The sequence below is a fragment of the Homo sapiens genome, chromosome 4, assembly GCF_000001405.40.
Source record: "Homo sapiens chromosome 4, GRCh38.p14 Primary Assembly".
Classification (NCBI taxonomy): domain Eukaryota; kingdom Metazoa; phylum Chordata; class Mammalia; order Primates; family Hominidae; genus Homo; species Homo sapiens.
The window spans coordinates 183,557,062-183,568,520 of record NC_000004.12 but is presented as its reverse complement, the minus strand read 5'-3'; the positions used below and the strand labels follow the sequence as shown (position 1 = coordinate 183,568,520).

The 11,459-nt window shown below is 44.6% G+C and overlaps 1 long non-coding RNA gene across 4 annotated transcripts; it reads left to right on the top strand.

The window, feature by feature from the left end:
• Positions 1-1,210: 1,210 nt before the first annotated feature.
• On the top strand, positions 1,211-9,937 carry LOC105377580 (uncharacterized). Of its 4 annotated transcripts, none has more exons than XR_001741940.2 (3): positions 1,211-1,303; positions 6,623-6,685; positions 8,037-9,937. It is a non-coding gene; the product is annotated as an uncharacterized LOC105377580 (long non-coding RNA). The 4 variants fall into 4 exon arrangements; XR_001741941.2 differs by lacking the exon at positions 1,211-1,303 and having other exon boundaries at positions 6,023-6,685; positions 8,037-8,220; positions 9,063-9,937; XR_939543.3 differs by lacking the exon at positions 1,211-1,303 and having other exon boundaries at positions 6,023-6,685; positions 9,063-9,937.
• Positions 9,938-11,459: the final 1,522 nt, after the last annotated feature.

Here is an 11,459-nt window from a genome sequence, read left to right as displayed (position 1 = left end):
GGTACACAGAAAAAACTGCAGCATTAACATAGCGGCCTTTGCAAGGTGGGCTGCTGGAAGGGTTAGCTAAAAGTGTGCAGAATTCAATAATTCATGGGGAATAAGGGAGTATTAATTGCCCAATACTTCATGGGCAATTAAGGAGATAGACAGTATTCAAAATCAGACTCATAATTTTTTTTTTTTTTTTTTTTTAGATGGAGTCTTGCTCTGTCTCCAGCCTGAAGTGCAGTAGCAGGATCTCGGCTCACTGCAACCTCTGCCTCCCAGGTTCAAGCGATTCTCCTGCCTCAGCCTCCCACATAGCTGGGACTACAGGCGCACACCACCACGCCCGGCTAATTTTTTGTATTTTAGTAGAGACGGGGTTTCACCATGTTGGCCAGGATGGTCTCGATCTCCTGACCTCGTGATCTGCCTGCCTCAGCCTCCCAAAGTGCTGGGATTACAGGCGTGAGCCACCACGCCCGGCCCAAGTTCAGAATGTTAGATAAACTCAAGAGCTTGAGTGCCCAAAAGCAAAGTATCCATGTAGTCTTGTAACGGACTGTGTGAGACCAACCGAAGGCTGCGTGACGGTTAATTTCATGTGTTGACTGGTCTAGGGTAATGGATGCCCAGGTAGCTAGTGAAATCTTGTTTCTGGGTGTGTCTGCGAGGACATTTCTCTTCTGCAAAGAGGTTGGCATTTGAATTGGTGGACTGAGTAAAGAAGATCCCGCTCGCTAACAGAGGTGGGCATCATCCCATCTGCTGGGAGCCTGAATGGAACAAAAGGCAGAGGAAGGGTGAATTCTCTCTTTCCTGGAGCTGGAACATCCATCTTCTCCTTCTCTTGGATATTGGAGCTCATCATTCCTGGGCTTTCGGACTTACACCAGTGGCCCTCTGGTTCTCACGCCTTTGGCCTCAAACTGGGAATTACACCACGGGCTTTCCTGGTCTCCAGTTTACAGACAGCAGATTATCAAACTTTTTTTTTTTTTTTTTTTTGAGACGGAGTTTTGCTCTTGTCGCCCAGGCTGGCATGCAATGGTGTGATGGCTCACTGCGACCTCCACCTCCCGGGTTCAAGCGATTCTCCTGCCTCAGCCTCCTGAGTAGCTGGGATTACAGGTGCCTGCCACCACGCCCACCTAATTTTTGTATTTTTAGTAGAGACAGGGTTTCACCATGTTGGTCAGGCTGGTCTCGAACTCCTGACCCCAGATGATCCACCCCCCCGCCGGCCTCTCAAAGTGCTGGGATTACAGACGTAAGCCACCGCGCCTGGCCTGTTTAACTTTTTGACCTCCATAATCATGTAAGTAATTTCCCATGATAGGTCTCCTCTTATATACCTGTATATCTCCTACAGGCTCTGTTTCTCTGGAGAACCCTGACTAATACAGGCTGATACAGTAAGAAATTCAATGAAATAACAAAGAAGGAAGATAATGAATTTTGAAGACAACCATTCTGGGAGGAATATGAATATAAAGAGAAACAAAGACAGAAATGAAAGAAAATATTTTAATTGCACCAATGTTTATTATTTGATCTCTTGCTATTAGGTTTCTGTCTCCTGGAGTCCTGAGGAGCTGGTGGTGGGGAAGCAGCTGGTGATCTTTCTCCAGGTGTTCCATTCGAAATAGTATAGCAGTTTCTTCACTGACGAAGTTTAGGAGAGTCCTAAAATGTGCCGGTCATTTCCATCTTCAGCTTTTCTCTTTGCTCTGTGTACTCTTGTGGGAGATGACCTTTCTCTTCATATAAGCACATCTCTCTCCTTTTTCTTTTTAAAGGGACAGGGTCTTGCTCTGTCGCCCAGGCTAGATAGAATGCAGTGGCATGATCACAGCAGCCTCTAACTCCTGGGCTCAAGCATCCACCTGCCTCAGCCTCCCAAAGTGCCGGGATTATAGGCGTGAGCCGCTGTGTCCAGCCTCTCCTTTTGTGTATGCTCAAGAAAAGTCTAAATAGAAGACCAGGATCCAAGTCAGGACGTTCCCTTTCCACCCACTCAGTGGCCTGAGGCAGCAGCCCAGAAATCTTCCTGCATTCTTCCATCTCCCTCACACCCATCCATACTTATCCATACTGATCCATCCACAAGTCCTCTCAGTTCCGCCTCTGAAACGTCTTTCAAATTCTTTCACCTCTCTCTCAATCCCTGTTTCTGCCTAGGGCCACCATCGTCGCTCACACAGATCACACCTGCCTCTCTGCCCATGCCGGCCCTCCACTCCTCCCTAATTCAGCAGCTGCACAGCCAGAGATTTGTCCCAGATGCAAATCTGATCATGCTAGTTCACGCTAAGCTGTGCAGTGGCTCTGGACTGCTCTGAGAATAGAGCCCAAACTTCTAGAACCTTGGCCGCAAGGCCCCTCGCCTGCCCTCTGTCTCACTTTCCCTAGCACTTAGGTGCCTGCCTGCCTGGACTTCTCTGGGATGCTTTCATCTCACCCTGCTCTCCTCCTTCCCTCATTTCCTCCATTCTCTTCTCTTCTTTCTACCCTATTCACTGGGCAAACTCCTAAAGCAGGTTGCTGTTTAGATACTGTTTACTCCAGAAAGCCTTCCTGAACCCAGCTGTTTCTTCTAGACCCCACCTTTTCCTTCCTTCAAACATCAAAGTCAAGAAACCCTTGTCGGCCGGGCGCGGTGGCTCCCAGCACTCTGTGAGGCCGAGGCGGGCAAATCACGAGGTCAGGAGTTTGAGACCAGCCGGGCCAACATGATGAAACCCCGTCTCTATTAAAAATACAAAAAATTAGCTGGGCGTAGTGGAGGGCACCTGTAATCCCACCTACTTGGGAGGCTGAGGCAAGAGAATGGCTTGAACCCGGGAGGCAGAGGTTGCAGTGAGCTGAGATCATGCCACTGCACTCCAGCCCAGGCAACAGAGTGAGACTCCATCTCAAAAAAAGAAAGAAAGAAAAGAAAAAAGAAAAAGAAATCCTTGTCACACTTTATTGCACCTATTTGCGTGAAAGCACAAATGAGCTTGAAGGTTCAAATATTGTGACTATCTAATAAGGACTAACAGTAGCTCTCTTTCCTGTGTATGTGTTTATTCTGCCTTCTCCCACTAAAGGGACAGCTCCTTTAGGGGAAGAATTTTGTCTGTTTCATTCATCCTTGCTGCTCAGGACCCAGGAGAGGACCCAGCAAAGATGCTGCGTTAACTTGGCCAAATGAGTGAAGGCAACAAATGCTCAGGGGAGCCAAAGAAAGACAGTTTTGGCCAGGCTTGGGCTTGAGTTCAAAGCAGAATAGCGTGTTGCTGTGCCCCAGATTGGAGGTGATAGAGGCAAGGTAACAGAGAAAGTCTCACTGGGAAAGTGAAGCCCAAGGAGGAAAGGGAAGACAGGTTAGAGCAATCGGTTGTCAGGGTCAGTCTGTTCTGCTCAGTGCTATACTCCTAAGCACAGCGGTTGGGCTGTAACAAGTTTCTGAAAATATTCAATTGAATGAATGAATGATCAAACGAATTCCTAATGCAGCCCACAGCTTTTTGGGACTTAGAAAATGAAACGCGGGCCAGGCGCGATGGCTCACACCTTGTCATTGAACCACCTTGGAAGGATGAGGTGGGCGGATCCCTTGAGCCCAGGAGTTCAAGACAAGCCTGGGCTACATGGCGAAACCCTTTCTTTAAAAAAAATACAAAAGTTACCTGGGCATGGTGGTGTGCACGTGTGGTCCCAGCTACTCAGGAAGCTAAGGTGGGAGGATTGCTTGAGCCCGGGAGGCAGAGGTTGCAGTGAGCTGAGATCATGCCACTGCACTCCAGCCTGGGTGACAGAACGAGACCTTTTCTCAAAAAAAAAAAAAAAAAGAAAATTGATCAGATTTGGGGAAAATGCTGATAAGACATTGAATTCTAGTAATGGAAATTCCAATATATTTGTTTCCATAAGAAATAAAACTGACAAGTGGGCCCAGAATTCATAAGACCTACCTTATTTTCCCTGAAGATTTGGAAAGTCAATCACATAATATTTCTTGATGAGCATAGATTCAGAGAAAGGGAAGTTATCATTTGAATGTTTAGTAACATATGGCTCTAACTGCCCAATTTCTTCATTTCTATAGTTGGTGGGTACACCTGCCAGTGAAGCCCCTGCACCCTGTCCACAAGGGCACCACCAGCCCCAGCCTTTCAGACTCTACTATTTTGGTCCTTTTTTGCCAACCAACCCCCATATTACAGTGACACATAATTTAGATAAGCCAACATCTTCTATTAGGTTATTAGGGCCTTTAACCAGCCTAAGAGTCTTTCCCCAGATTGGCACATCTCTATTGTGCCCCCTTGGAATTTCCGATTTTATGGTGGAAGCAACCACATTTCCCTCATTTCCAAGTCCTAAGGAGTCACCTGCCCCAAGCAACGTTTTCCACTTGAGCATTCTGAGACTGCGAAGGTGGGTGGAGCTGTAGACGCATTAGGTAATTTACTGGGTCAGTGACTCATTTGAAATTGAGGGCTTCTTGGCAATGACGTTTGAAAACAGAAAAATGTTGAGTCTAGGAGACAAGACAAGAATTAGAACAGCTATTGAGAGCTCCACAGCAAGGTGGCTGAGATTGCTTAGTAGAAAGAGGTTGGGGGCAAAGTGCCCACTCTGAAGCTAGAGCTTAGTCATTTTAAAATGAACAACCTGTGCTTGGTAACATGCGTAAATACCTTGTTATTTGTGTCTTCTATAATTACTTCTTATTCTCCCTTGATGTATGCAAGCTCTTGGAAACACTGAACAGTGTCTTATTGGTATTAATGACTAACAATAGCTCTTTTTCCTCTGTATGTGTTTATTCTGTCTTCTCCCACTAAAGGGACAGCTCCTTTAGGGAAAGAATTTTGTCTGCCTCATTCATCCCTGCTGCTCAGGACCCAGGAGAGGACCAAGCAAAGATGCTGCATTAACTGTCGCCAAATGAGTGAAGGCAATGAATGCTCAGGGGAGCCAAAAAAAGATAGTTTTGGCCAGGCTTGGGTTCAAGTTCAAAGCGGAATAGCGCATTCCTGTGGCCCAGACTGGACGCAGTAGAGGCAAAGCAACAGAGAGGGTCTCACTGGGAACGTGAAGCCCGAGGAGGAAAGGAAGACAAATTACAGAAACAGTTTGGCCCAGACAGGCCGTCATCTCCCAGTGCGCCCCTCAGCTGAAGCCTGGGAGAGCTTGTGTGTGTGTGTGTGTGTGTGTGTTTGTGTGTTTGTGTGTGTGTTTGAGACGGAGTCTTGCATTGTTGCCCAGGCTGGAGTGCAGTGGCACGATCTCTGCTCACTGCAACCTCCACCTCCCAGGTTCAGGTCCTGCTTCAGCCTCCCAAGTAGCTGGGATTACAGGCACCCGCCACCAGGCCTGGCTAATTTTTTGTATTTTTAGTAGAGACGGGATTTCACTGTGTTGGCCAGGCTGGTCTTGAACTCCTGACCTTGTGATCCTCCTGCCTGGGCCTCCCAAAGTGCTGGGATTCACTGAGGCAAATAGCAGTGCAGGAATAGACAACTAGCTCATATCTAGCAGCAAACACCATGGAAGAATTTAGTGTTTGAAAAATATGAACTTATTTACAGTAACAAAATGTCACATCAGTAAGTTACTTTTTAATCGACAAATAAACCAAAACAGAACAAAGGAAAAGATTAGAAAAAGTTTTAATGGCTTTGTTAACTTGACTTCCTGAAACTGTTTTGAGCCATACTTTCACTGTTTTCATCTTTAAAAAATAAAAACAATAAGCCTGGAACCTGGACTAAGAAAACAATTAAAAACGAAAAAAATAAAAACAGACTTGGCACCATGGTTTATGTCTGTAATCCCAGCACTTTGGGAGGCTGAGGTGGGGGGATCATTTGAGCCAGAGTTCAAGATCAACATGGGCAACATAGTGAGACCCCTATCTCTACAAAAAAAAAAAAAAAAAAATTAGGCAGACATCCTGGTGCATGCCTGCAGTCCCAGCTGCTCGGGACATTGAGGTGAGAGGGTTGCTTGAGCCCAGGAGGTGGAGGCTGCAGTGAGCTGAGATCGTGCCATTGCACTCTAGCCTGGGAGACAGAGCAAGACCCTGTCTCAAAAATAAAATAAAATAACCCACCTACATTTTCCTCATGACCTTTTAATATTGCTATATCAGAAAGTGATATAGATTAAGTCACTTTAGCTCCCTGTGAAAATATTTTACAGAATTCTCTTGGAACCGTATGTTCCTGTCTCTCCACAAGAGAGGCCATATGTTTTTGAAATTTCCATTGAAGACTTACCCTGCCTTAGCTTTTCAGTATCCCGGGATCAGCTTCTCTTACACTTTTATACTGGAGAACGAATTCATCTCCTAAAGAACTGGTGACTTCTTAAAATGTCAGATAACAACAGACACATAAATCATCATCCCTCTTTGACTGCCATGAAGTCACAGCGAAATGTTGGGCTCAGCTACGGATCCTGGCACAGGAATCCTTGAGTTCAAGAAGCACTCAGGCCACACACACTTGTGTGTCTGTCCCTGCCATGCTGTAAAATCACAGAAGTGTGTGAATGATGAAGATTTTATTCATGCTGCTTGGTTTTGTCCCACAATGAGCTCCAGGAAAATTCCAGACTGCCACTGTTTTTTTTTTTTCCTCAGCCTCTTCCAGATGTTCATTAACTACTGTTGCCTCCATTTATCTAAGTTGGCACACAGAAGAAGGTATGTTAAGTGATTATGTGCTTTGTACTTCTTTTTTTTTTTTTTTCCCTTGAGACGGAGTTTTGCTCTTGTCACCCAGGCTGGAGTGCAATGTCGTAATTCTCCTGCCTCAGCCTCCCAAGTAGCTGGGATTACAGGTGCCCACTACCACCCCCGGCTAATTTTTGTACCCTTAGTAGAGACACAGCTTCACCATGTCGGCCAGGCTGGTCTCGAACTCCTGACCTCAGGTGATCCGCTCGCCTTGGCCTCCCAAAGAGCTGGGATTACAGGCATGAGCCACTGCATCTGGCTTGCTTTCTTCTTGCTTATATTTCAATTAACAAACAAGCCATATAATGTATTGCTTTTTTAAGATACAAAGAACAATGGTAGAGGTTACTGAAAAACACCTTGCTTGGATGTCATTCTCATTTTGTGCATGATCATATTCATATGCAATTATTTTAAGTTCCAAAAGACAGAAAAGTTCACACTCGGAAAGGTAAACCTTCCACCCACCTGGAGACTAAACTGTACAATTATCTCCCTCCTTCATTACATGGTTCTTCTTTAACTATCCACTTTTTATATTTTTATTTTTATTTTTGAGACAGAGTCTCACCCTGCCGCCCAGGCTGGAGTGCAAACATGCAATCTCGGCTCACTGCAACCTCCGCCTTCCGGGTTCAAGCAATTCTCCTGCCTTAGCCTCCAGAGTAATTGGGATTACAGGTGCGCACCACCATGTCTGGCTAATTTTTGTATTTTTAGTAGAGACAGGGTTTCACCATATTGGCCAGGCTGGTCTCGAACTCCTGACCTCAGGTGATCCACCTGCCTCGGCCTCCCAAAGTGCTGGGATTACAGGCGTGAGCCACTGCACCCAGCCAACTACCCATATATACTTTTTTTTTTTTGACTTTTTCTTTTTGAGACAGAGTTTCGCTTTGCTCTTGTCCCCCAGGGTGGAGTACAATGGCACGATCTCTACTCACTGCAACCTCCACCTACTGGGTTCAAGCGATTCCCCTGCCTCAGCCTCCCAAGTAGCTGGGATTACAGGCACCCACCACCACGCCTGGCTAATTTGGTATTTTTAGTAAAGATGGGGTGTCACCATATTGGTCAGGCTGGTCTTGAACTCCTGACCTCAGGTGATCCACCCACTTCAGCCTCCCAAAATGCTGGTTTTACAGGTATAAGCCACCTGGCCCAGCCTACTACCCACATTTTAATCATCCTTACGTAGCTTTAATTGCAAATTCCTGGACTCTTCTTGAGTAAGCTGACTTTTGAAAAATGCATGAATTTTAAAACAAAATTAACCCTATGTATAGTATATATCAATTAAGCAAATGTTTCTTCACAGACTGAGGTGAAATCTTCGGGGGTCCACGAAGTGTTTGTAGTGGCCGGTTTCGTGGCATAGTGATCATTATAACAGTGATTCATTTCACCAAGTATTAAGCACCTACTCTTTCCCGTAGGCCTGGCTAGGCCTAGAGATGGAGGAAAACGTCAAAGTAATGGAATACAATATCCTTGTCTTTGAGGTATTAACCTGCAGTAGCTGAGGGCATATGTCCTGTTTACCTGAAAAAACAATTTTTTTCAAAGCAAAACAAAAATTAATTATAGAGATTTGAGGTTTGGTTAGTCTTAGAAGGTTTTGTGGACTTCAAATTTCATCTTAAAAGAAGTGTAGGATTTAGATGACTGGAAATAGGGAAAGAATTATTGTTCCAGGAGAGGAAAAGCATAAACCGAGTTTGCATAAAGGGAACCAGTAGTGAGCCATGGGCACAGGCAGGGTGGAAAGTTAGACGGGAAAGGTGCCTCTCCTAGAAAACTGGTTGGAAGGCTGACCAGGGACTGGGGAGTTAGGGGTTAATCTCTCAATCCGATATATGCTAAAGAACCATTGTGAACTCTTAATCAGAGCAGAGGGATAATGGAAATGATGCTTCAGAAAGAATCCACTTGTGCAGATAAGAGGCTTTGTAATTACCAGAGAGGAATAGGATATGAAGGTTTTCATCAGCATCAAGAGCTGTCTGAGCTGCAGAAAATTTCTAGCTTCTACACAAAATGAAGGTTTATATAGAACAGCAGAGAGGAGAAGAAAAGGGCATTAAAGGATAACTTTTAATTCCACAAAGAATGGTAACGAAAGACTAAAGTTTCTAGCATAGTACTAGTGACATCGTAGGGCTTAATAAGTATTATTACAGTTGTTATTTTTATTACCATTTTAAGATTATTTTGCATGATGTTTTCATAGCAATAGAAAATAAGAAAATCTTACATTTGTTATGTGACAGCTAGGTTAGAATCTGATTTCTTTTTTTCCCCTTTCAACAACCCTGAGATGTCGATTATCCCTTTTTTTTTATAGTAGAAGATACAAGGCTCAGAATGACTAAGAAACATACAGCTAGTGAGTGGTACAGGCTGGATCTGGACCCAGATGTGTCTCGCTCCAGAATCCATGCTTCTTCCACTCTGTCTCTGAATTGGGAATCAAAAGATCTGCCAGAAGCTAAAAGAGCAAATGTGTGATTGAAAAACCAATGACTGCTCTAAACTCACCTAAAGAGTCAGTGAGAAGGGAGAATGTTTAACAGTGAAGCGCAGAAAAGGGCAGGGTCTGAGGAGCAGAACTGGGAGATGATTTAGCTCCGTGCAGCAGAAAGTTTGGTGACTGACGGATACACATCAAATGGTTTCCCTGAAACACAGGCAGTGTTCCGGCTTTACAAGGCTGGGATGCTGTCTCCCTTATCTTTTATGCGAGATTTTATCATCGGCTTCCTGGATACCTTGTTAGAGAGGAATACGTGCTCTCTGTACCGCGGAGGACCCGGAAAGGAACAGTTCAGTGCTGGAAAGGAAATTGCAGTTCACAGAGTAAAACACCGATGATCCCATTGATACCCTGGCCTCTAGTGAATTCTATTAGCATGAGCCTCTTTCTCCGTGTACCTAATCAGTATGTCATACTAATGAGATGAAGTTTCTGAATGTGCACATCTAAGAGAAGAATACCATAAAGGAATCCTACTATGAGGCCCCTAGATGGCTAACCAGAGGGCCTCTTTCTGGTGACGCCGACCCTTGAGAAGTTCAACAAAGCGAGGTGCATATCACTGAGCACTTTCCATCCCTTGCTGCGTCTCCACTTCCTGGAAACCTTTTCTGCTCAAATTATCCTACTTAAAGTTTTTGTTTAGAAGTGGCATACATCAATCCTTTTTTTTTTTTTTTTTTTTTTTAGACAGAGTCTTGCTCTGTCGCCCAGGCTGTAGGAGTGCGATGGCGCGATCTCGGCTGACTGCAACCTCTGCCTCCCAGTTTCAAGCGATTCTCCTGCCTCAGCCACCCGAGTAGCTGGGATTATAGGCACCCGCCATCATGCCGGTTAATTTTTGCATTTTTGTAGATATGGGGTTTCAACATGTTGACCAGGCTGGTCTTGAACTCCCGATCTCAGGTGATCCGCCCACCTCAGCCTCCCAAAGTGCTGGGATTACAGGCCTGAGTCACCGTGTCCAGCCGCATACAGCAATTCTATTCACATTTTACTCATCAAAGCAAGTCACATGGCCAAGCCTCATGTAAATGATGTGTGCAAGTATAATTTTCCATAGTAAAGGCAACAAATAATTGGGAGTAATAGTGTAATCTACTACGTGGCATGGATTTGCTTACTAATTTGTTTAATTGAAGATTCTATTCTTTCCAGCAATCAAAAAGAATGTTGTCTCTCTTCAATAAATTCCCTGTTACTTCTATTGGAATTTGGTTTAATGGTTCATATTTAAAAGTATTTTGCTGGTTGTTTCCACTTAAGAATTTTGATTTACTTCTCTAAGTTATCAGCTTTGCTTCAGTAACAAACAGGTACAAAAATGTCAGTTGCTTACAATAAAAACCATGTGTATGTCTTGCTTGTGTTACATGTGAGTCTACCACAGTCAGCCCGGGACTGTGCTTCTGCTCCAGACCGCCGGTGGGCGGCAGGTCTGTTCTGGTGTCTTCTCAATCTGGGACCTCCACCAGAGAAGCAGCCCTGATCCGGGACAGGCTGCGATAGGGGGCAGAGCAAGGGTCCTTGCCAAAGCAGGTGTATTAATCAGGGCTCTTCAGAGAAACATAGATAGATAGATAGATAGATAGATAGATAGATAGATAGATAGATAGATCATATATATAGATAGGATATATAGAGATAGGATATATGGATATAGATATGATATATAGAGATAGATACATATATATGATTTCGTCTAGGAATTGGCTCACACCATTATGGAGGGTGAGAAATCCCATATGCCACTGTCTACAAACTGGAGAACAGGGAAAGCCAGTGGTGTAATTCAGTCCAAGTCCAAGGGTCTGAGAAGGGAGGTTGGAGGGGACTGGTGATATAAATCCCTGTCTGATTCCGAAAGCCTGAGACTCAAGAGTTCTGATATCCAAGGACAGGAGAAGATGGAGTTCCTGGCTCAAGCAGAGTGAACAAATTCACCATTTCTTCTTTTTTTGTTATTCGATTTGAGCTCTCAACAGATTGAATGATGCCCACTCACAATAATGAGGGTAGATTTTCTTTACTAAAGCTACCAATTCAAAGGCTCACCTCCTCTGGAAACACCCTGCAAGCATGTTTTACCAGCTATCTGGGCATCCCTTAGCCCAGTCAAGTTGACACCTAAAATTGGCCATCACAGCAGGCAATCACATTGAAGCTTCTGCTCATCCTGGTGTAAGTCACATCTGCTCAGATTCCATT